Source organism: Homo sapiens, chromosome 1 (genome assembly GCF_000001405.40).
Source record: "Homo sapiens chromosome 1, GRCh38.p14 Primary Assembly".
NCBI lineage: Eukaryota > Metazoa > Chordata > Mammalia > Primates > Hominidae > Homo > Homo sapiens.
Genome location: NC_000001.11, coordinates 155,817,675 through 155,843,660, shown reverse-complemented (window position 1 = coordinate 155,843,660; position 25,986 = coordinate 155,817,675). Strand labels below are relative to the sequence as shown.

Here is a 25,986-nt window from a genome sequence, read left to right as displayed (position 1 = left end):
GGATCCCGTTTGCCCTCCCATGGCCTTGGGAATTTGGCTACTAGGGTTGGGTCAGAGCATCGTGGGGAATTTCTGTCTCTGTGTCATTGTCACAACAATTTGTGCAAAAGATAGTATCATTAGTACACTGGAGCTGTAGATACCCAACATCCTAGGTCCAGGTAATAGTAGGGGGTAGGAGGGTGGTTGGAGAGGAGTCAGGTCAATCTGTTAAGTGTGGGAGAGAGCTGTTTTATAAGTAGGGGCCTAGGTACCAAAGGAACACTATGGCCAATTAGGAGGTTTGGGGAGATGGCTGTGAGGTTTGCAGGGTGCACCAGAAGGTGATGCTCTCTATCCTGAGGGTGCTGATGACAGATTCTGCAATCATGCAGGCTATTTCCTGATGCTATAATTCTAGAAATGTTTACTATGGAGTTTTGTTCCCATTCCACAGCGAGTTAGATTGATTAGGAGCAGGGAGCAAGAAGAACAGGGACAACTGAGTATCACACTGGGCTTTAGGGTGGTCCCTATACTCAATAAGGACAAGTAAGGTGTTTCTCAGGAGGAGGTGGTTGCTACTTATCTGTCTTGTGAAATAGCAACTTTAAGTCTTCCAGAGGTTTGCAGGTGTAGGTCATGGTGTCCTCCTCTTGTGCCTGTAGGGATTCACCAAAAACAGGTTTGTTTAATCCGGGACAGGTGTACCTAGCTAGTGATTCCCCGAAGTTTAACAGCAGTGGGAGTGCTTAACAATACCTAATGGGGAGTGGGTGCCCTTCCATATTGGTTATATTATAATTGATCTTCAAGGAATCCTTCTTTCCAAGTTTTTTTTTTTTGAGATGAAGTCTTGCTCTGTTGCCTAGGCTGGAGTGCAGTGGTGCTATCTTGGCTCACTGCAACCTCCGCCTCCCGGGTTCAAGTGATTCCCCTGCCTCAGCCTTCTGAGTAGCTGGGACTACAGGCATGTGCCACTATGCCCAGCTAAATTTTTTGTATTTTACTAGACACAGGGTTTCACCATGTTGGCCAGGATGGTCTTGATTCCCTGACCTCGTGATCCACCCACCTCGGCCTCCCAAAGTGCTGGGATTATGGGTATGAGCCACTGGCCCGGCCCTTTCCAAGTTTTTTTTTTTTTTTTTTTTTTTTGAGATGGAGTCTCGCTCTGTCGCCCAGGCTGGAGTGCAGTGGCACGATCTCGGCTCACTGCAACCTCCACCTCCCGGGTTCACACCATTCTCCTGCCTCAGCCTCCTGAGTAGCTGGGACTACAGGTGCCTGCCACCATGCCCGGCTAATTTTTTGTATTTTTAGTAGAGACGAGGTTTCACCATGTTAGCCAGTAAGGTCTCCATCTCCTGATCTCGTAATCCACTCGCCTTGGCCTCCCAAAGTGCTGGGATTACAGGCGTGAGCCACCACCCCTGCCCCAAGTTTTTAATAGGACTAGGTGTCCTGGTTAAACAGGGAACAATCTTTTCCTTTGTGGGAAAGGGCAATACTTTATTTTCATATTCTTAGAGTGCCTTTTGAACCTGGTCTCTTAAGTTCCAAAGGGGAGCGGGGGGAAGGTATAGTGAGGCTTGTCCAACCCCTTGTTTCTTGTCATGGCCTGAATTAGTTTTTCAAGTTTCTTTTTTTTTTTGAGACGGAGTCTTGCTCTGTCACTCAGGCTGTAGTGCAGTGGCACGATCTCAGCTCACTGCAACAGCCGCCTTCCAGGTTCAAGTGATTCTCCTGCCTCAGGCTCCCAGGTAGTTGAGATTACAGGCGTTCGCCACCACGCCCAGCTACTTTTTGTATTTTTAGTAGAGATGGGGTTTCACCATGTTGGACAGGTTAGTCTCCAACTCCTAACCTCAGGTGATCTGTCTGCCTTGGCTTCCCAAAGTGCTGGGATTACAGGTGTGAGCCACTGCATCCAGCTGCCAGAGGCAATATTGCTGGCCAAGCTTTTATTTTGTTCCATACCAATGCTGAGGTGGTGTGCTACCTGCCCCAGGTCCCTCATGTCCCTTGGTGGGACGCTGATGGCCAAGGGACTTAGATTCAAGTGACTTATAGCCAATTAAACATTGTAGGCCAGATGGAAGTGGAGGTAGGCAGGCACTCATTATTATCTCTTAAAACCCCTTTTAAGCAATATAAGAGCCAAAACCAGAAGCCAAAAAATAAGGTTATAAAACTGACTTATCTATAAATTCTGTGCATTGAGCTATTGTAATCTTGGCTTGCAGCAATTAGGTTTACAAAACACAAACATTTTGTTCAGCTATTTAGGTATCTGTGTGCCTGTCCTTGATTTGGAAGGTCTGAATTAATTATATCCCTCAAAACCCAGCCCCTATAATCTCTCATGCCCACCTCTTCAGTAGTCCTTGGGCCTGGAGGAATTGAATAGTTTTAAATTCTGTAGATAAAACAACACATAAAGAATTAGCAATGTTTCAAACAAAAAAGTCATAAGCCCTGCCCTAGTTTTGAGAATGACAGGAAAGGAATCTTACAGGTACCTAAACATTTAAATTATTTAGTATCAAGGCATAGAATAAGTTATATTAATTCATATAGAGGCAAAATTATTAAATGAATACAAGCTTGTCCCTGTGTCTCATTAAAGCAGTTTACTTTTTTTTTGAGACTGAGTTTCACTCTTGTTGCCCAGGCCGGAGTGCCATGGCATGATCTTGGCTCACCGCAACCTCCGCCTCCCGGGTTCAAGCGATTCCCCTGCCTCAGCCTCCCGAGTAGCTGGGATTACAGGCATGTACTACCACGCCCAGCTAATTTTTGTGTATTTTTGATAGGGACGGGGTTTCTCCATGTTGGTCAGGCTGATCTTGAACTCCCGACCTCAGGTGATCCACCCACCTCAGCCTCCCAGAGTGCTGGGATTACAGGCGTGATCAACTGCGCCCGTCCTAAAGCAGTTTACTTTGCCCCTTTTGCCCAGGTCTAAAGACAAGGCTTTGGTTAACTTGAGTTTGGTGTTAGATCCTGGCAAGAGTTGGTGCCTTCTCTAGATGAGCTGTCTGTACCCAGGAGTCAAAGCCCTGTAACTCAAAAGCACATTGATTAGTTAATAGCACCCGATAAGGAACTTTTTAAAGGGCTGGCAGTGGTAATGCTGGAGTCCACAACCTGTCAGGAGGCTGTAAAAATATATCACAACCTTGCAGTGATTAGTTTTTATAGCTTTGATAAAGCCCAGCAACAAGCCAGACAATCAAGCTAGGATTCGATTCTGGGGGCATTTGTAAAAGATGTTAAAAAGCCCAAAATACTGTATTGACACAGAACCACAGGTTACTGTAAGTAATAGTTACTTATTTACCCAAAGTGGTAATCTCTCTGCAGTGTAATTGTCTCTCCTTATGGGAAGCCCACTTAACTAATCTTGAAGTTAAATTTGATGAAGAGAAAAATAATACTTGAATTTAATCGGACAAAGTATGTTCAAGGTTTTGAATATAGCAGGTGAACATGAAAAGTTTTCTGGTTACTCTGAAAATTTAGACATGTCAAGAAAAACCAAGAGTATAGAATCAAGTTATACTGGAGGAAAACATTGCTTTTATAGACCTCTAAGCTAAAATATTTCAGCATCTGACTGTAAAAACAGAACTGGAAGAGAAAAAGTTACAGCAACTGATGAAAAGGTTGAAGGAGAGACTAATGTCTCAGGCTTTCTCAAGGGGAGAAAAAGCTGAAAGCAGTGAGATAGAACAATTGAACTTATGAGATATGAATCTGAGAAATTTTCAAAAGAAACAAGTTATAGAATTGAAAAGCAAATTTTCTTGTAATTTCATTAAGAGCAAATCAATACCTTGAAACCCTTACTTTAACATAGGAGACCATTCTTTAGAAAGATTCCACTTTTAATTATAGCTAACTTAATCACATAAACAATTCTTTTTATAAATTCTCCTTTATAAATCTTATGACCTGCACAGACCATGTATGATATGGTTGAATGAACTTTCTGACTTGTCCAATACTACCTTTTTTTTTTTTTTTTTGAGACAGAGTCTCATTCTGTTGCCCAGACTGGTGTGCAGTGGTGTAATCTTGGCTCACTGCAACCTCCGCCTCCCGGGTTCAAGCAATTCTCCTGCCTCAGCCTCAAAAGTAGCTGGAATTAACAGGCGTGTGCCACCACACCCAGCTAATTTTTGTATTTTTTAGTAGAGACAAGGTTTCACCATCTTGGCCAGGCTGGTCTCAAACTCCTAACCTCAAGTGATCCACCCACCTTGGCCTCCCAAAGTGCTGGGATTACAGGCATAAGCCACTGTGCCTGGCCTATACTACTTTTCCTAAATAACTAGTCATTCTACTACTCTAGAACAATACCATATAAGATCCTTTTTTTTTTCCCACTGAGATCTGCAGGATTCTTTCTTATGTAGAATTATTCTCTTTTATTTATAACCTTTCTTACCAAAAATACCTCTGAACATCCATAACTTTCTTTACCTATCTCTCCCCTACTTACTGGTTCCTTTCTACCTGGTTATATAAATAACCTTTTCAAGTCCATAATTTGAATCAACCTTTAGATAACTTTTGAATTAGACACAATTATTCTTTTTCTCAATAAAAACACATCTTCTTTGGTAAGTTTTATATAAACCTAAGAAGGAAGAAATCCTGAACTATCAGATATTAGCATTTTATAGATGAGAACCATTCCACAGTTTTTAAAATTTTTTATTTTATTGTAAAATGTTTCCCTATATAATATTCCTTTCTTAATTGGAAATGACCCAGGCATCCAATAAGCATCCAAAACGATTTTAAGATTTTAAATTATACAAAAAGTTCACTTATAAGCATTTATCTCATTATATTTACCTAATTTATTATTATTATTTATAATTTTTTTTCTTTTTTTTTTTTTGAGACAGAGTCTCACTCTGTCACCCAGGTTGGAGTGCAATGGCATAATCTTAGCTTACTGTAACCTCTGCCTCCCGGATTCAAGAGCTTCTTGGGCCTCAGCCTCCCAAGTAGCTGGGATGCATGCACCACCACGCCTGGCTAATTTTTGTATTTTTAGTAGCCATGGGGTTTTGCCATGTTGGCCAGGCTGGTCTCAAACTCCTGACCTCAAGTGATCCACCTGCCTTGGCCACCCAAAGTGCTGGGATTACAGGTGAGAGCCCCTGTGCCTAGCTGGAACTATATTAGACAAAATTGGTCATTATTCAAAGTTATTTCCTGGTTAACCATTTTTAAACTCTGAACATTAGGTGAACCCCTAAGTAAGAATCTTAAACACATGGGCATTTTGCCAGTAACTGAGAAGATTCAGCTATTTTCATTGAGCCAACAATCTTAAATTCGTCTTATTTATACAATTCTGAAGACATTTCTATTTCCATCAATTATTTAATTTAATTAATTAATTTTTTGAGACAAGGTTTCTGTTGCCCAGGCTGGAGTGCAGTGGCATGATCACAGCTCACTGCAGCTTCCGCCTCTTGGGGTCAAGTGATCTTCCACCTCAGCCTCCTGAGTAGCTGGGACTATAAGTGTGTGCTGTCACACCTGGCTAATTTTTTTTGTTTTGTTTTAGAGATGGAGTCTCACTATGTTGCCCAGGCTGGTCCTGAACTCCTGGGCTCAAGCAGTCCTCCCACCTTAGCCTCCCAAAAGGTTGGGAGGTGTGAGCGACAGCACCCAGTCTTTATTAATAATTTGAAAACAAGTTTTATTTACCAAAGGATTCATGTGAACTTGAAAAGCCTTTGGACTTTATTAAAGATAGCTGGATTTAAATATTTCTGACAATTTTGAAACCTGTTCACATGGCTAAACTTTTTTTTTCTAATAGGTAATCCAAGGAAACTGTAGACTAGAATTTGGGTAAGGTAGTTTTCATAACAGTTTTAATTTTAAAACCCTCTTTTATCCTTTTTTCCCCCTTCAGCTTCAGAGGAGGAGGAGATGATTTAAAAGGGCAGGAAAGAAAAAGAGGGAAAGGAGGGAGAGTAGGGGGATGAGGGGTACCTTTCCCTTTGTTTCTCTGGTGGGGGAGAGAGAGAGAGAGAGATACAGCAAGCCAGAACACTCATTGATGGATGAAGGGTCACCTTACCATGACAACTTCAATATCAGATATCTTGGACCCAAGACCTTGGGACTGTCCCAGGGACCCACAATCCTAGAGAGACATGAACCAGTAGAAGTATAATAAAAGAAGACTGAAAAGGCAGAAAGGGAAAGGAAGCTAGGAAAAACAGGCTCCCGTAGCAGCAAATGTGAATTGGGGAAGAGAGGGGTTGTTGTTCAGGGCGTGTCCTTGGAGTCCCTGAGACAGTGGAGAACTCACCCATCAGTGGAGACACCAAAAAAAGTGTTCAGGCGGCTGCTTTTCTGCCATTGCAGGGAGTCGTCATTAGGTCAGGGGTTCAGGGCCTCCAGAAAAATGGGCTTGAACAAGGCAGCTCATTTGGGACCCTCATTTTGAGCAGAAAGAAAGACAGGAAGAGACCTGTTGCAGAAAAGAAAATTTATGATTTTAGGAGGGACTAGAAGAAGTTGCTGAAGTGGATGGAATGACAGAGTAAGGAAAAAAATGAAACGGCACCAAATGCTGAAAAACCTGGAGTATCTAGACATTGGCCAGTGAGGGTCCCCATACCAAATGCTGAAAACCTGGGGGTGGCCAACAGTGAGGCCCAAAGGCATGAGACCTAACACAGTTGGGGCCATAGAATAATGTGACTCTGACATCCCAGAGTCAGCACAAAGGAATACCTCTCAAAATAACAAAAGCCTGCCTTACATGGAATAGAAACAACTGCCCAAATTGCCAAAACAGGGACTACAAACATGACAACTGGATAAACATAAGTGTGCATTTAGGCACTAAGAGCAGAAAAGTAAAATGACTGGTCATTAGAAGCTAAAGAGAAAAGGTCTGAGAGAGAAGGTGACAAAGTAAATTACAAAGGACGTGGATGTCCAGGTGTGCTTCTGTCTGGGGCACCCAGATGATGGGGGACAACGAACTGACTAACAACCCAGAGACACTATTCCCCATTTCCTGATTGATTTGAAAAGGTAAAGGGAGAGGAGAGTGAAAGAGAAAGTAAATCAGTTAAAGAACACCACATCGGCCAGGCGTGGTGGCTCACGCCTATAATCCCAGCAGTCTGGGAGGCCGAGGCGGGGGGATCACGAGGTCAGGAGTTCAAGACCAACCTGGCCAATGTGGTGAAACCCTGTCTCTACTAAAAATACAAAAATTAGCTGGGTGTGGTGGCAGGCACCTGTCATCCCAGCTACTCGGGAGGCTGAAAGCAGGAGAATCGCTTGAACCCGGGAGGCGAGGTTGCAGTGAGCCGAGATTGTGCCACTGCACTCCACCCTGGGTGACAGAGCAAGATGTCGTCTCAAAAAAAAAAAAAAAAAACGAAAACAAAACACACATTGAGGGGGAACAAAGGGGACACTCATCTTTTCGTGGAGGCCAAATGGTGCCAGTCAGTCTTTGGGTTCAAGCAATTCTCATGCCTCAGCCTCCCAAGTACCTGGGACTACAGGCGTGCACCACCATGGCTGGCTAATTTTTTGTATTTTTAGTAGAGCCGGGGTTTTGCTCTGTTGCCCAGGCTAGTATCGAACTCCTGAGCTCAGGCAATCCACCTGCCTTGGCCTCCCAAAGTGCTAGGATTACAGGCGTGAGCCACGGTGCTCAACCCAATCAGTCTTAATTTAGGGTCTGGCTAAAGGTCTCCCTCAGTTCCTTTTGGCTTATTATTGGTCTCTTCATGGTCACCAAGGAATGACGCAGGTGAACCCCAAATTGGGGCTCAGCCCAGGAGCATTCTTGGCTTCGCACTGGAAGGAATCATGAATGGGCCAACAGTGAATTGAAAGTAAGTTTATTAGAGCAACAGAGGAAGGGAAATGGCTGCTCTGTAAGAGAAGCAGCCGCAGCAGCAGACCTGCGGATTGCTGGCTAGCTGTATGTATACAAAGACAACATGGAAAAAAAATGAAACGGTGCCAAATGCCAAAATACCCAGAGTATCCAGGCATCAGCCCATGAGGGTCCCCATACCAAATGACGAAAATCCCAGAGCACCTAGGGGGTGGCCAACAGTGACCCTCAAAAGCATGAGACCTGTATAGCCATATATATATGGGTATACTTTGATTATATGCTAAAATAAGGGGCAGATTTTTTTTTTTTTTTAATTGATCATTCTTGGGTGTTTCTCGCAGAGGGGGATTTGGCAGGGTCATAGGACAATAGTGGAGGGAAGGTCAGCAGATAAACAAGTGAACAAAGGTCTCTGGTTTTCCTAGGCAGAGGACCCTGCGGCCTTCCGCAGTGTTTGTGTCCCTGGGTCCTTGAGATTAGGGAGTGGTGATGACTTAACGAGCATGCTGCCTTCAAGCATCTGTTTAACAAAGCACATCTTGCACCGCCCTTAATCCATTTAACCCTGAGTGGACACAGCACATGTTTCAGAGAGCACAGGGTTGGGGGTAAGGTCACAGATCAACAGGATAAGAATTTTTCTTAGTACAGAACAAAATGAAAAGTCTCCCATGTCTACCTATTTCTACACAGACACGGCAACCATCCAATTTCTCAATCTTTTCCCCACCTTTCCCCCCTTTGTATTACACAAAACCGCCATTGTCATCATGGCCCGTTCTCAATGAGCTGTTGGGTACACCTCCCAGACGGGGTGGTGGCCGGGCAGAGGGGCTCCTCACTTCCCAGTAGGGGCGGCTGGGCAGAGGCGCCCCTCACCTCCCGGACGGGGCGGCTGGCTGGGCAGAGGGGCTCCTCACTTCCCAGTAGGGGCAGCTGGGCAGAGGCGAAGGGGCGGATTTTTAATGGATTTTCTGGAAAAGGGGCGAGGACTTCCCGGAACTGAGAGTCCCTCCCCTTTTAAACCATATAAGGTAACATCTGGGGGTTGCCATGGCATTTGTAAACTGTCATGGTGCTGGTAGGAGGTTCTTTTAGCATGCAGATAAAAGGAGGGCAACAGGAGGTGGCTTTCATCACCATCTTGCTTTTAGCTGGTTTTGGCCAGTTTCTTTGATCAGCTCCTGTTTTGTTCAGCGGGGTCTTTCGAACAGTGCTTGGAAAACAAGTCCTGCTGATCTCCTACCTCAAATGGAATGTGAGGTGACAATAGGGCCAGCAAGCAAAAATAGAAATCTGAGATTGAAGTTTAGTAAGAGGCAAGGACTAGAAATGTTCAGTGTTAGTCATGGTTCTTCTCCATGGAAACAGACATGGAGGGGGAAGAGCAGTGGATTGAAGACAACCTTGCCTTGAGGAAGAAGATAACAGAGAAGGAACAACTGGAGAAGTAATAGTAAAAGTGAAAAGAGGAAGGAGAGCTTTAAGAACAAGGTACTTTAAAATGTAAATTTAAAATTTAGTAGCAAAGGAGGGATAAGGATAATACCTGAGAAAAAGGTTACATTTGAAGATTGATGATCTTGGAGAGTAGATTCAGGAGTTTGTTGGGGAAAGGACATTATATGAAGCAGTTAAAGAGGAAGGAATGGGGCTGGGAACAGTGGCTCACACCTGTAATCCCAACACTTTGGAAGGCCAAGGTGTGAGGATCTTGTGGCCAGGAGTTCAAGAACAGCCTGGGCAAGATAGCTAGGTTCCATCTCTACAGAAAATTTTAAAAATTAGCCAAGTGTGGTAGTGCATCCCTGTAGTCCTAGCTACTCAGGAGTAGCTAGGGGGATAGCTTGAGCCCAGGAGTTCAAGGTTGCAGTGAGCTCTGATCGCACCACTGCATTGCAACCTGGGTGACAGAGCAAGACCTTGTCTGTAAAAAAAAGAAAAAGGAGGAGGAATGAAACCCCAGAGATTTTTCTTTCTTTCCTCTCCCCCATCCCCCTCCTCCCCTCCTCCCTTCCTCCCCTCCTCCTCTCCTCCCCTCTCCTCCCCACTCTCCTCTTCCCTCTTATCCCCTTCCCTCACCTCCCCTCCCCTTCCTTCCCTTTTTTTTTTTTTTTTTTTTTTTTTTTGGAGACAGAGTCTCGCTTTGTTGACCAGGCTGGAGTGCAGTGGTGTGATCTCGGCTCACTGCAAGCTCCACCTCCCGGGTTCACGCCATTCTTCTGCCTCAGCCTCCCGAGTAGCTGGGACTACAGGCACCTGCCATCATGCCTGGCTAATTTTTTGTATTTTTAGTAGAGATGGGGTTTCCCCGTAGCCAGGATGGTCTTGATCTCCTGACCTTGTGATCTGCCCGCCTCGGCCTCCCAAAATGCTGGGATCACAGGTGTGAGCCACCATGCCTGGCCTTCCTTCCTTTTTTTGCAGTGGGAGAATGGGTGAGAAATAGCTAGAGAAGGCAGCGAGATTATTGCATATTTTTTCAAGATAAGTTGTCAGAAGGAACTGGAGGAAATTATAAGATTAAAATGCTAGAGAAGGAATGGATAAATAACTATGGGTTCATAGTCACTCAGTTATTGATAAGTGTAATTAAGAGATTTTAAAAATCAGTTCACAGATATCCGGATTTAAATAAACATTTATTGTTTAGTATTATCTGTGATATCACTCCCCTTCATTAATCTGGAGAACTGAAAATTGATTATACTACTTTGCACTTTAATTAGTTGTATATACAAGTAATAGCAATAAAAGTACACTATGAGTGTCTCTCCAGAATTTTTCTTCAAGTAACTTTTTTTTTTTTTTTTTTTGCCAATCAGATAATGTAACACAAAACAGAGAGGAAGAAAGAAAGATTGACAATTCACATATATCTACTTTGGAAAATATTGAAAACTTTAAAGGAGAAAATAAAAATCACCCGTAGCCCTGCTGTTTAGTATGTGTTTTTGTTGTTTTACTTTCTTTTAAGTAACATTTTAGTTTTCTGATTATGAAAGCAGCAGCATCATATACACTGTAGAAAAAATGAAAATACATAGAAAGATAGTTGGATTATTTTCAAGTATTGACATTTTGTTACAATTGATACCTTTTTGTTGTTGTTATTGTTTGTTTGTTTGTTTGTTTTTGAGACAGAGTCTCGCTCTGTCACCCAGGCTGGAGTGCAGTGGCATGATCTTGGCTCACCACAACCTCCACTTCCTAGGTTCAAGCAATTCTCCTGCCTCAGCCTCCCGAGTAGCTGGGATTACAGGCGCCTGCCACCACACCTGGCTAATTTTTGTATTTTCAGTAGAGGTGGGGTTTCCCCATGTTGGTCAGGCTGGTCTTGAACTCCTGACCTTGTGATCCACCTGCCTCGGCCTCCCAAAGTGCTGGGATTACGGTGTGAGCCACTGCGCTAGGCGCACCTTGCCGGGCAATACATTGTTAAATCATGTTTCTTTTTTCTTTTTTTTTCTTTCTTTTTTTTTTTTTTTTTTTTTTTGAGACGGAGTCTTGCTTTGTTGCCCAGGTTGGAGTGGAGTGTAGTGGCGTGATCTTAGCTCACTGCAACCTCCACCTCCCGGGCTCAGGTGATTCTCTTGCCTCAGCCTCCCGAGTAGCTGGGATTACAGGCATGTGCCACTGCGCCTGGCTAAGTTTTGTATTTTTAGTAGAGATAGGGTTTCGCCATGTTGGCCAGGCTGGTCTTGAACTCCTGATCTCAAGTGATCCACCCACCTCGGCCTTCCAAAGTGTTGGGATTACAGGCTGGAGTGCAGTGGTGTGATTTCGGCTCACTGCAAGCTCCGCCTCCTGGGTTTGCATTGTCCAGCCTAAATCATGTTTCTTGACTGCAGGTATTAGTGTTTAAACCTTTTCTTTATTTATTTTTTTTAAAGAGATGAGGTCTCACCCTGTCATCCAGGCTATAGTCCAGTGGTACGATCATAGCTCACTGCAGCTTCTAACTCCTGGGCTGAACTGATCCTACCAAGTAACTGGCACTATAGGCAGGAGCCACATCATCCAGCTAAAAAAAGCTGCGACTACAGACCTGCACCACCACACCCAGCTTTTTTTTTTTTTGACTTTTTGCAGACACAAGGTCTCTATAAGTTGCCCAGCATAGAAATGTTTTTTGTTTGTTTGTTTGTTTAACAGGTGAGGTCTCATAATTCACTGCAACCTACAATTCCTGGCCTTAAATGATCCTGCTGCTTCAGCCTTCTAAAGTGCTGGGCTTACAGGTATGAGCCACTGGGCTCAACTAGAAATAACTTTTTATTTATTTATTTATTTATTTATTTATTTATTTATTTATTTATTTTTAACGAGACAGAGTCTTACTCTGTAGCCCACGCTAGAGTGCAGTAGCACAATAATGGCTCACTACAACCTCTAACTCTTGGCTTCAAGTAATCTTTCTGCCTTGGCCTCCCAAAACGCTGGAATTACAGGCATGAAGCCACACATAACTTTTTTTTAGACAGGGTCCCACCGTGTTACCTAGGCTGGAGTACAGCAGTGCAATTACGGCTCACTGCTGCCTTGACCTCCTAGGCTCAAGTGATTCTCCCACCTTAGCCTCCCAAGTAGCTGGGACTACAGGTGTGCACCACCATGCCTGGCTAATTTTTGTATTTTTTGTCGAGATAGCGTTTCACCACATTAACCAGGCTGGTATCAAACTCCTGAGCTCAAGTGACCTGTCCACCTCAGCCTCCCAAAGTGCTGGGATTACAGCCATGAGCCACCATGCCCAGCCCACAAATTACTTTTTAAACAAGCATACCAGAACTTTTAAATCTAAGCAAGTATTGCCCTTCAAAACACAGAGATTCACTTTGGTAGGCAGAGCCTCTTCCACTGACATTTTTACTACTTAAAAAATATTTGGGGTCAGGCATGGTGGTTCACACCTATCCCTGTACATTGGGAGGCTGAGGTGAGAGGATTGCTTAAGGCCAGGAGTTCAAGACCAGACTTGGCAACATAGTGAGACCCCATCTCTACAAAAATAAAATAAAATTAGCTGGGCATGGTGGCAGGAACCTGTAGTCTCAGCTACTTGGGATGCTGAGGTGGAAGGATCACTTGAGCCCAGGAGGTTGAGGCCGCAGTGAGCTGAGATCGTACCACTGCACTTCAGCCTAGGGGACAGAGCGAGACCCTGTCTCAGCAACAACAAAAAAATTGGAACTACTTGGCCAAGTGCGGTGGCTCGTGCCTGTAATCCCAGCACTTTGGGAGGCAGAGGTGGGCGGATCACCTGAGGTCAGGAGTTCGAGACCAGCCTGACCAACATGGAGAAACCCCATCTCTACTAAAAATACAAAATTAGCTGGGCGTGGTGGTGCATGCCTATAATCCCAGCCACTCGGGAGGCTGAGCCAGGAGAATCTCTTGAACCCGGGAGGCGGAGGTTGCGGTGAGCTGAGATCGTGCCATTGCACTCCAGCTTAGGCAACAAGAATGGAACTCCGTCTCAAGAAAAAAAAAAAATTGGAACTGCTTTTTAAAACTGTCCCTGCAGGGCTGGGTGCGTGGCTCATGCCTGTAATTCCAGCACTTTGGGAGGCCTAGAGGGACAGATTACCTGAGGTCAGGAGTTAGAGACCAGCCTGGCCAACATGGTAAAACCCCATCTCTACTAAAAATAAAAAATTAGCTGGGCGTGGTGACACACGCCTGTAATCCCAGCTACTCGGAAGGCTGAGGCAGGAGAATTGCTTGAGCCTAGGATACGGAGGTTGCAGTGAGCTGAGATCATGCCACCGTACTCCAGCCTGGCCCACAGAGCGAGACTCTGTCTGGAAAAAAAAAAAACAAAAAAACTGTCCCTGCAAGCACATTATCAGCTGCACCACAAAATCATTTTTCATACTCTAGAGGAAATGTTCCTTTTTTCTACAACCTTTTTTTCCCCTCTGACTCCACAATGCTTTTCAATTTATTTCCCCTTCCTAGAGCCCTTTAGGACCCCACCTTCCTTTATAGATATGCTGGATGCTAAAAGACCTCAGAAAGAGAAGCTGAGCAGAATAAGAGAAATAGAGAAAGCAAACCTTATTCAGAGCATATCTGTAACTTATGTACTGCCAGCCTGAGAACTGTATGTTGATAACATCAAAATTATTATTTTTTAATTTATATTGTTTATTTTTTGGAGACAGTGCCTCGCTCTGTCGCCCAGGCTGGAATGCAGTGGTGCAACCTTGGCTCACTGCAACCTTGGCTCACTGCAACCTCTGCCTCCCCGGTTCAGGTGATTCTCGTGCCTGTTGAATAGCTGGGATTACAGGCACCTGCCACCACGGCTGGCTAATTTTTTGTATTTTAGTAGAGACGAGGTTTTACCATGTTACCCAGCATGGTCTCAAACTCCTGAGCTCAGGCAGTCCGCCCACCTTGGCCTCCCAAAGTGCTAGGACTACAGGTGTGAACCACCATGCCTGGCTGATCATAACATCAAAATTAGCTGAGAACAGTACAAATCAACTAATTATAAGCTAAAATCATGCTACTCACTTTTAGGAGGCAAAGAAAGGAGAAGCATAAGTGGAAATTAGGGTATGTAAGTCAAATTCAGAAGAACAAGTAAAATTCTATTAGAATAAACACCATTAAAGCAGAAGATTTAGCTGGATGGTGTGATGGAAGTAAGCTATAACAATGCTACTGCACTCCAGGCTAGGCGACAGAGTGAGACCCAAGTATAAAGACTGGCCATGTGTTTTGAAAGAAAATGTTCAACTAAGTAATACACAAACTAGGGAAAAAATTCAGAAATATAAAAAGTACACAGTGAAAATTTAGGCATCCTTTCACTTTGTACTCTTGCTCCCCAAGTCCTCTTCCCAGGTAACTGTTAAACAATTTTTTGTGTATAGTCCAGGGATTTTCTGTATATATGCAAGCTATTTCCTTGATAGCCTGATTTCTGATGTTTACCATTTTTTTTTTTTTTTTTTTTTGAGACAGAGTCTCTCTCTGTCGCCCAGGCTGGAGTTCAGTGGCGCGATCTCGGCACACTGCAACCTCCGCCTCCTGGGTTCAAGCAGTTCTCCTACCTCAGCATCCTAAGTAGCTGAGATTACAGGTGCCCGCCACCATGCCTGGCTAATTTTTTGTATTTTTAGTAGAGACGGGGTTTTGCCGTGTTGGCCAAGCTGGTCTCAAACTCCTGACCTCAAGTGATCCACCCATCTCAGCCTCCCAAAGTGCTGAGATTACAGGCGTGAGCCACTGTGCCCAGCATTCTTTTTTGGTTTGTTTGTTTGTTTTGTTTGAGATGGAGTTTCGCTCTGTTGCCCTGGCTGGAGTGAAGTGGCACTACTATCTTGGCTCACTGCAACCTCTGCCTGCCAGGTTCAAGCGATTCTCCTGCCTCAGCCTCCCAAGTAACTGGGATTACAGGTGCCTGCCACCATGCCTGGCTTATTTTTGTATTCTTTTTTTACAGCCGAGGTTTCATCATGTTGGCCAGGCTGGTCTCCAACTCCTGACCTCAAGTGATCTGCCTGCCTCAGCCTTCCATAGTGCTGAGATTACAGATGTGAGCCACTGCGCCCAGCCTACTTTTAATACTACATGAATATTTCTTTGCGTGTGTGTGTGTGTGTGTGTGACAGTGTCTTGCTCTGACACCCAGGCTGGAGTGCAATGGCATGATCACAGCTCACTGCAGCCTTGAACTCCAGGGTCCAAGTGATTCTCCCACCACACCCTCCTAAGTAGCTGGGACCACAGGTGTGTACCAACACACCCAGCTAATTTTAGAGCTCTATATTTTTGTAGAGACAAGGTATCTCCAAATGTTGCTCAGGCTGGTCCCGAACTCCTGGATCCTGGCTAAAGCGATCTTCCTGCCCTGGCCTCCCAAAGTAATGGGATTACAGGTGTGAGCCACCTGGCCTAGCCTAATTTTTTATTTTTATTTTTAGTAGAGACAAAGCCTCGATATGTTGCTCAGACTGGTCTCAAACTCCTGGGTTCAAGTGATCCTCCTGCCTCAGCCTCCCAAAGTGCTGGGATGATAGTCATGAGCCACCTCATGACTATAAGCACCTGGCTTTTTTTTTTGTGTGTGTGTGTGTGTGACGGGGTCTTGCTGCGTTGTCCAGTCTGGAGTGCAGTGGTGGAATCGTATCTCCCTGTAACCTCAAAATCCTGGCCTCAAGCCATCCTCCCAGCTCAGCCCCCCCAAGTAACTAGGACTACAAGCATGCACCATCACCCCTTTTTTCTCTGTCTTTTTAATGCTAGCCTCACCTACTCCCCTCACAAAGGGAGTGTTTATGAAGTGTTGAGGTGAGAAAGTTGTCTAATGAACTGTAGAACCATATATTTACAATTTTATGGTGACAGTTACTCTTCTGCTCTGCCAAATTGATTTACAAAGTCAGGGCATTTTATGATTATATTTATAGTTGATGAAATATGGTGTTAATGGTCATCTATATAAAATGTCATCAGGAATTTCCTTTACAAGTCTGATTTTTCATAGGAAAAAATGCAAAACTGAAAGCATATTAGAAATAAAAAGACCTCAGCAATTACCTAGTTTAACTCCCTGAGTTTACAGATGAGTAAATTGGATCTGAGCTTTGATTTAAGAGAGGAAAATTCCTATATAGTATATGCTTAATTCATGAAGTTGTCTACCTAAAAACACTATAATAAGATGCTAAATTCTACAACAGAGTATGACTGAGAATGGTCAAAGTGTGGAGCAATATTTGTGATTCTTCCAGGGAAACCTCAAATGAATTCTGAAGGGGAGATACCTTCCCTGCCATCAGGCAGCCAATCTGCAAAACCAGTAAGCCAGCCCAGGAAATCAACCCAGCCAGATGTTTGTGCCTCTCCTCAAGAAAAGCCACTCAGGACTCTGTTTCACCAACCTGAGGAAGAGATAGAAGATGGTGGACTCTTCATTCCAATGGGTAGGCTTTCTTTTTCTTTTTAATTAAATGAAACCTCTTTATTGAAGTATAATATGTAGAAAACTGCACATGTCCTAAGATATCCTGAATTCACTATATTTTTACAAATTTAATACACCCTTGTAAGCAGGACCCAGATCAAGATAGAGAATGTTATCAATACCCAGAAGTCCATCTTGTCTTCCCTTTCAATTACCCTCTACCCATAGGTTAACCACTATCCTGATGTCTAGCATCATATATTGGTTCAATTTTTTTTTTTTTTTTTTTGAGACGGAGTTTTGTTCTTGTCGCCCAGGCTGAAGTACAGGGGCGTGATCTCGGCTCACGGCAACCGCTGCCTCCTGGGTTCAAGTGATTCTTCTGCCTCAGCCTCCGGAGTAGCTGGGATTACAGGTGCCTGCCACCACACCCGGCTTAATTTTTGTATTTTTAGTAGAGACAGGGTTTTGCTATGTTGGCCAGGCTGGTCTCGAACTCCTGACTTCAGATGATCCACCCACCTTGGCTTCACAAAGTGCTGGGATTACAGGTGTGAGCCACTGCGCCTAGCCAGTTGTTCTGTCTTTTTGTCTTTTATTTGAATGGAATCGTGTGTACATTTTATAACTGCCTTTTTTTTTTTAAAGACAGGGTCTCACTCTGTCACTCAGACTGGAGTGTAGTGGTGCCATCACGGCTTACTGTGGCCTTGACCTCCTGGGTTAAAGTGATCTTTTTGTCTCAGCCCTAAGTAGCTGGGACTATAAGCGCGTGCCGTCACAGCCAGCTAATTTTTTTTCTTTTTTTTTGAGACACAGTCTTGCTTTGTTGCCCAGGCTGCTGGAATGCAATGGCTTGATCTCAGGTCACTGCAACCTCCGCCTCCCAGGTTCAAGCGATTCTCCCGCCTCAGCATCCCTAGTAGCTGGGATTACAGGCACCTGCCATCATGCCCAGCTAATTTTTGTATTTTTTGTAGAGACGGGGTTTCACCGTGTTGGCCAGGCTGGTCTTGAACTCCTGACCTCAGGTGATCTGCCTGCCTTGGCTTTCCAAAGTGCTGGGATTACAGGCATGAGCCACCGCACCCGGCCCAGCCAGCTAATTAAAAAATTTTTTTTGTAGAGACGGAGCCCCACTATATTGCCCAGGCTGGTCTCAAACTGCTGTGCTCAATTGATCCTCTTGCCTCAGCCTCCCAAAGTGTTGGGATGACAGGTGTGAGCCACCGTGCCTGGCATTGTGACTGCGTTTATTCTCTCAATTTTTTTTTTTTTTGTTTTGAGACAGAGTCTTGCTCTGTCACCCAGACTGGAGTGCAGTAGCGCAATCTCGGCTCACTGCAGTGTCTGCCTTCCGGGTTCCAGCGATTCTCCTGCCTCAGCCTCCTGGGTAGCTGGGATTACTGGCACGGCCACCATGCAGGGCTAGTTTTTTTATTTTTAGTAGAGACGGGCTTTCACCATGTTGGCCAGGCTGGTCTCGATCTCCTGACCTCAGGTGATCTGCCCGCCTCGGCCTCCCAAGGTGCTAGGATTACAGGCGTGAGCCACCGTGCCCGGCCTCAACATTGTTTTATGAAATTCATCCATATTCTTGGATGTACTTGTAGATTGTTCATTTTTATTGCTGTATATCATTCTGTTGTTTGAATAGTTTATGTATGTTTTCTTTTCTTTAATTTTTTTTTTAGAGATAGGTACTGCTCTGTCACCCAGGCTGGAAGTTCAGTGCCATGATCATAGCTCACTGCAATTTGAACTCCTAGGTTCAAGTGATCTTCCCACTTCAGCCTCCCCAGCAACTCGGACTCTAGGTGCACGCCACAATGCCTGGCTAATTTTCATTTTTATTTTATTATTATTATTTTTTTAGAGACGGTTTTCACTATGTTGCCCAGGCTGGTTTTGTATTTCTGGGCTCGAGCAGTCCCTCCTTGATCTCTCAAAGTGCTGGGATTACAGGCATGAGCCTCCTCACCTGGTTTGCTTTACGTTTTCTTTATCCATTCAACTCTTTGTTTTTTCTTTTTGCTTCCTTGTGCCCATTGTTACCCATTCAATTCTTCTTCTTCTTTTTTTTTTTTTTTTTTGCGACAGAGTCTTTGTTTTGAACCAGAGTCTCACTCTGTCGCCCAGGCTGGAGTGCAATGGTGTGATCTTGGCTCACTGCAACCTCCGCCTCCCAGGTTCAGGTGATTCTCCTGCCTCAGCCTCCTGAGTAGCTGGGATTACAGGTGCGCTCCACCACTCCTCTGCTAATTTTTGTATTTTTAGTAGAGATGGGGTTTCATCATGTTGGTCTGGCTGGTCTCGAAGTCCTGACCTCATGATCCGCCTGCCTCAGCCTCCCAAAGTGCTGGGATTACAGGCATGAGCCACCGTGCCTAGCCTTTTTTTTTTTTTTTTTTTTTTTTTTTTGATGTGGAGTTTTGCTCTCGTCACCCAGGCTGGAGTGCAATGGTGCAATCTCGGCTCACTGCAACCGCTTCCTCCTGGGTTCAAGCAATTCTCCTGCCTCAGCTTCCCAAGTAGCTGGGACTACAGGCACGTGCCACCATGGCCGGCTAATTTTTGTATTATTTTTTTTTTTTTAGTAGAGACAGGGTTTCACCATGTTGGTCAGGCTGGTCTTGAACTCCTGACCTCAAATGATCTGCCCGCCTTGGCTTCCCAAAGTGCTGGGTCACAGGTGCAAACCACTGCACCTGGCCCCATTCAATTCTTGATGAGCATTTGGATACTTTTCAGTTGTGGGCTACTGTGAGTGGTGCTGCTGTGAACATTCTATAGATTTTTTGCTGAACATGTGTACTTCTTTTTCGTTGGGTGGAAATGCTAGCTTATAAGTTTGGGCATCCTTAAAATTCTTTTGAAATACTAAATTTTTTATTGTGAAACATAACACAGACACATGACTAAAGACTTCTTTATTTGATTTAGCAAATGGTTTTTTTGTGTGTGTGTGTGAATCTTGCTCCGTCGCCCAGGCTTGAGTGCAGTGGTGTGATCTCGGCTCACTGCAACCTCCGTCTCCTGGGTTCAAGTGATTCTCCTGTCTCAGCCTCATGAGTAATTGGGATTACAGGGACACACCACCATGCCCGGCTAATTTGTATTTTCAGTAGAGACGAGGTTTCACCATGTTGGCCAGGCTGGTCTTGAACTCGTGACCTCAGGTGATCCACCTGCCTTGGGCTCCCAAGGGGCTGGAATTATAGGTGTGAGCCACTGCGTCCAGCCTCACTTTGGCAAATGCTTTTAAAATGGACACGTAATTTTTCTTATTGCATATTCTAGACCTTCATTGCTATGTAGGTTGTAAGTAGTAGTGGTAGTCGACATCTGTGTCTTATTTCTGGACAAAACAGGAAAATGTTCAGTATTCCTTCATTATATATGAGGATAGTTATAGGCTTTTCATAGAAATATTTTTTAGGTTAAGGAAATAATTTTCCTAAGTTTTCTGAGTTTTTTCATATATTGAATTTCATCAAATGCTTTTTCCTATCTCTATTAAGATCATGTTTTTTTCTCTTTCATTTTGTTAATGTGGTAAGTTTCATTAGGTTTATTGAGATATAAAATAAAATGTATCTGATGAGTTTTGAAAAATATGTACAGTTGGGCCAGGTACGGTGGCTCACACCTGTAATCCCAGAGCTTTGGGAGGCTGAGGCGAGTGGATCACCTGAGGTCAGGAGTTCAAGACCATCGTGAGCAACATGGAGAAACCCCATCTCTACTAAAAATACAAAATTAGCCGGGCGTGGTGGCACATGCCTGTAATCCCAGCACTTTGGGAGGCTGAGGCAGGTGGATCACCTGAGGTCGGGAGTTCAATACCAGCCTGACCAACATGGAGAAACCCTATCTCTACTAAAAATACAAAATTAGCCGGGCATGGTGGCACATGCCTGTAATCCCAGCTACTCGGGAGGCTGAGGCAGGAGAATCACTTGAACCCAGGAGGCGGAGGTTGCGCTGAGCCGAGATTGCACCATTGCACTCCAGCCTGGGCAACAAAGAGCGAAAACTCCGTCTCAAAAAAACAAAAGAAAGAAAAATATATACAGTTGTGTTAACTGCTACCACAACCAACGTGGAACATTTCTGTCACCCCAAAAGTTGCCTAATTCCCCTTTGCTATCCCCCTTTCTCAAACATTGGCAAGCACTGATTTCTATTTCCATAGTTTTGCATCTTCTATGCAAATGTTCTATACTTGTTATACCGTCATATAATATGTGTCCTTTTACATCTGGTTTCTTTCACAGCATAATGCTTTTGAGATTTATCCACTTTACTGTTGGCTTTCTGGGCTAAGTTCCTGGAGCAGCTATTTTGGAATTCTGATGATGTTCTTGGTTTATTTGCAGAAGAACAAGACAATGAAGAAAGTGAGAAAAGGAGAAAAAAGAAAAAGGGTACCAAGAGGAAACGAGATGGAAGGGGTCAAGAAGGGACCTTGGCATATGACCTGAAACTGGATGACATGCTTGACCGTACCTTGGAGGATGGTGCCAAGCAGCACAATCTAACAGCAGTCAATGTCCGAAACATCCTTCATGTGAGTAAGACTGGGGCAGTTATGTAAATGGAAGGGAACTTTTTCATGGAAAGCATATAAAAATGTTCAGCAAATTCTTGACTCTTGATACGTGAATTACCGATTTTGTGGGTTACCCGTGACAGAACATTTTACATTTTTACATATTTAAGATAGCTTTCTCCTTGCACTCAGTACAAGTTTGAAATATGAACACATGTTAAAGAAGAATTTAATTGGAAAGATAAACTGTTCCTGTTTCCTTCCACTGATTTTCATATTTACTGTATTGTTTAGTAGATTCAATGTTGATAATGTTCATAGTGGGTTTACTCTTGTGGGTCGATATGTCTAAAAAGATGCCTGGTTAATAGTTTATTGCACTTTGTACATATGTAAATACTTTTCTTGATATGTAGCAACACAGCTATTTGCAGAGCCTTTGCTCTTGTTACTCTTTCTCTTAAGCATATAGTTACTTACCTCAGGATCTCCTTTTATGTGAGCCATTCCTGTTCCTAGTAGCAGCTAATGAGATTGGTTCATTTGCTGCTACATTGTTTGAAACTGTGTGGTTCTGGCCAAAACTTACTTCTGCCTTCTTTGCTTTCAGTTGCCTTGCTTTACCCCAGTCTGATGCTATTCGAGTATATGGTTCTCATTTGTCCTGTACATAGGTCTGACAGTTACATGGAGAGATGAGTATTGTCTAGGTGACAAACCCTTGTTGCATAAAGTGAAATTTCATCTTTCTCCAGGAAGTAATCACAAATGAACACGTGGTAGCTATGATGAAAGCAGCCATCAGTGAGACGGAAGATATGCCAATGTTTGTGAGTAGTTGATTATCACTCTTTTAATGTCTTGGAACAGAGTTATCTCTAAACTGGCTAAGGGTAGGAGGTCACTTAGGAGTTTGTAAACAGTTTGGCAGCTGGGGTTAAAGTTAGCATTTCAAAACATAAGAATTACTTGGTAATTTTTACTTATTTTATTTGTTATTTTATTATTATTATTATTTTATTATTATTATTTTTTTTTGAGACGGAGTCTTACTCTGTCACCCAGGCTGGAGCGCAGTGGCGCGATCTTGGCTCATTGCAAGCTCCGCCTCCCGGGTTCAGGCCATTGTCCTGCCTCAGCCTCCTGAGTAGCTGGGACTACAGGGGCCTGCAACCACGCCCGGCTAATTTTTTGTATTTTTAATAGAGACGGGGTTTCACCACGTTAGCCAGGACGGTCTCGATCTCCTGACCTTGTGATCCGCCCGCCTCGGCCTCCCAAAGTGCTGGGATTACAGGCGTGAGCCACCGCGCCCGGCCTTGTTATTTTATTATTATTATTTTTTTAGAGACAGGGTCTTGCTCTGTCACCAAGGCTGGACTCAAACTCCTAAGCTGGACTCAGCGATCCTCCCAGTTCAGCCTCTTGAGTAGCTGGGACTACAGGAACATGCGACTATGCCCAGCTAATTTAAAACAATTTTTTTGTAGGGAGGGTGTCTCACTCTGTTGCTCAGGCTGGTCTCAAACTCCTTGCCTCAAGCCATCCTCCCACCTTGGCCCCTAAAGTGCTAGGATTATAGGCATGAGCCACCTCACTGAGCTGTGATTTTTATTGAGGATTTCCTTTCTGTTTTTTTCTCCTTAGGAGCCTAAAATGACACGCTCTAAACTGAAGGAAGTAGTGGAAAAAGGAGTGGTAAGTATTCTGTTTTTTTGTTGTTGGTTTTTTTTTAGCTTGGTGAATAGGATCTAATTCACCCATAGGGAAAAATATAGGAAAGATTGTGGTCTGAATTTGCCTCTTTAAAGAAATATTTATAAAAGACAGTAGAATTGTTTCTACATGATCATAAGCTATGATAATCATAGTTTATTTTAGTAGATATGAAGCATTGCTTTTTGGAATTGCTAGATAGATAACCATTTGGAATAGTTGAAATCAATAGGTGAGACCAGTTTTTCTATTTATGTTACAACACATGTTGCAAAGTGTTTAGTATTTTTCATAGTGTGTTCCAGGGGCCAGTTGCATAAAAATCACTTTGGTGTGGGATCCCTCAGGCATGCTTATTAAAAATGCATACTTTTGGCTGGGTGTAGTGGCTCATGCCTGTAATCCCAGCACTTTGGGAGGCCGAGGCAGATGGATCACTTGAAGTCAGGAGTTCGAGACCAGCCTGGCCAACATAGTGAAACTCTGTCTCTACTAAAAATACAAAAATTAGCTGGGTGTGGTGGTGTGCGCCTATAATCCCAGCTGCTTGGGAGGCTGAGGCACAAGAATCACTTGAACCCGGGGGCGGAGGTTGCAGTGAGTGGAGATTGCACCACTGCACTACAGCCTGGGCAACGGAGTGAAACTGTCTCAAAAAAACAAAAACAAACAAAAAAATCTCCATACTTTTGAGCCCACCCCAGACCTGAGAATCAGGACCCATGGGCAGGGCCTTGGAATATGCATTGGCAAAAACACAACAGTTAATTCTTTTGAATACTAAAGTGTTGAGAACCACTTGAAGACATCTGAAGTATTCTGTGCAGCAAGCTCTTTGGTGCTTGGAGCTGTGCTATATCCTTCTTAATAAGCACTTGACTAGTTTGTGCTTACAAGGCAGGTAATAGTCATGAGGGAGTTCATTATATTTCTGATAGTAAGGAAGATTTGCCTTACAGACCGAAAATATGTATCATAGGTTTTATCTGTCCTGGTTTTATTCCTTGGAGACTGATAGAAGAAACAGGTCTAGGCTGGGCTTGGTGGCTCATGCCTGTAATCCCAGCACTTTGGGAGGTGGAGGTAGGAAGATTGCTTGAAGCCAGGAGTTCAAGACCAGCCTGGGCAACGTAATGAGACCGAGACCTTGTCTAGAAAAAAAAGCAAGAAAAGGAATTGGTGTATTCTTCCACATTACTTTTCCTACAGTTGAAGAAAACTAGTATGTTATTTCATAACATTCTTTTCTTGGCTATACATCCCCCAATTTCTCCCCCCCTTTTTATTTTGGGAGTCTTGCTTCATCGTCCAGGCTGGAGTGCAGTGGCACAATTCTGGCTCACTGCAACCTCTGCCTCCCAAGCTCAAGTGATTCTCCTGCCTCAGCCTCCTGAGTAGCTGGGATTACAGGTGCGTGCCACCATGCCCGGCTAATTTTTTTGTATTTTTTAAAATTTTTATTAGAGATGGGGTTGCACCATGTTTGGCCAGCCTGGTTTCAAACTCCTGACCTCAAATCATCTGCCCGCCTTGGCCTCCCAAAGTACTGGGATTACAGGCATGAGCCACTGTGCCTGGCCTTTTTGTTTTGAGATGGAGTCTCACTCTGTCACCTAGGCTGGAGTGCAGTGGTGCGATCTCAGCTCACTGCAACCTCTGGCTCCCAGGTTCAAGCGATTCTCATGCCTCAGCCTGCTGAGTAGCTGGGATTATAGGCATGCACCACCACACGCATCTAATTTTTGTAGTTTTAGTAGAGATGGGGTTTCACCATGTTGGCCAGGCTGGTTTCCAATTGACCCATGTGATCGCCCGCCTTGTCCTCCCAATGTGCTAGGATTACAGGCGTGAGCCACTGTGCCCGTCCCATATCCTTTTAAAAGTATGCCAAAAGAAGACTCTACTGAACCAGATATGGTTTGACTAGTAGTTAGATTATCTCCACAGTGTTCCAGATTACATATTTCTCCTAATGTAGCCTAAGGTCAAATTGACCTTTGTTTTTGGCAATCACATCACTTTTTTTGGTCTGGTTGACTAACTCTTGTTGCATAAATTGAAATTTCATCTTTCTCTAGGATGTGTTCACAAATGAATAGGTGGTAGCTATGATGAAAGCAGCCATCAGTGAGGAAGTTCTATGAAGTCTACTTGACATATAGAATATAATTAACATGGCTGGGCACGGTGGCTCATGCCTGTAATCCCAGCACTTTGGGAGGCCGAGGCAGCTGGATCACCTGAGGTCAGGAGTTTGAGACCAGCCTGGCCAACATGGCGAAACCCCGTCTCTACTAAAAATACAACAGTTAGCTGGGCGTGTGGTGGGCGCCTGTAATCCCAGCTACAGAGACGAGAGGATCGCTTGAACTCAGGAGGGAGAGGTTGCAGTGAGCGGAGACCATGCCACTGCACTCCAGCCTGGGTGATAGAGCAAGACTCTGTCTTAAAAAAAAAAAAGAATATAATTAACATTAATTCTTTATTTGATTTGGGGAAAAAAAATCCAAGGAGATCAAATTAGGCTCTGAATTATGTTTATTGGCCATGAATATAGATGTGGAGAAGTTGGGCCATCCAAGACGGTATAGTTTACGTAGGAGAGCAAGTATTAAAATGTAGGTCTCTTGCTTCTTAATTCTTTCTTTTTTTTTTTTTTTTTTTCAGTGACTTGCTCTGTTGCTCAGGCTAGAGTACAGTGGCCTAATCATAGCTCACTGCAGCCTTGAACTCCTTCCTGTGCTCAAGGGATCTTCCTGCCTTAGCCTCGCAGACAGCTAGGCCTATAGGCATGTGCCACCATGTCCAGCTAATTGGTTTTTTTGAAACATTCTTTTGTAGAAATAGGGTCTTAATGTGTTGCCCAGGCTGAACTCAAACTCCTGGGCTCAAGTGATCCTTCTGCCTTGATCT

At 43.9% G+C, this 25,986-nt stretch overlaps 1 protein-coding gene across 20 annotated transcripts in view, besides 1 other annotated feature; it reads left to right on the top strand.

Annotated features, from left to right (window-relative positions):
• The window catches only part of GON4L (gon-4 like), a 114,320-nt gene that overhangs the window by 15,771 nt on the left and 72,563 nt on the right, over positions 1 to 25,986 (top strand). For 18 of the 20 annotated variants that reach the window (XM_047423299.1, XM_006711394.5, XM_047423284.1 and 15 more), the window contains exons 3-6: positions 16,633 to 16,824; positions 21,185 to 21,375; positions 22,113 to 22,187; positions 23,005 to 23,055. In XM_047423299.1, coding sequence (XP_047279255.1) covers positions 16,633 to 16,824; positions 21,185 to 21,375; positions 22,113 to 22,187; positions 23,005 to 23,055 — 509 coding nt within the window. Of the gene's footprint in view, positions 1 to 9,189; positions 9,380 to 10,710; positions 10,830 to 12,040; positions 12,127 to 16,632; positions 16,825 to 21,184; positions 21,376 to 22,112; positions 22,188 to 23,004; positions 23,056 to 25,986 lie in introns of those variants that run through there. The other 2 variants (XM_047423296.1, XM_005245284.4) reach the window with 2 other exon arrangements.
• Positions 9,029 to 9,323: a silencer, noted in NCBI's record as "tiled region #7686; HepG2 Repressive non-DNase unmatched - State 6:EnhF". NCBI's record gives its function as "represses a minimal TATA promoter and a strong SV40 promoter by Sharpr-MPRA in HepG2 cells {active_cell/tissue: HepG2}" and the evidence as "EXISTENCE:reporter gene assay evidence [ECO:0000049][PMID:27701403]".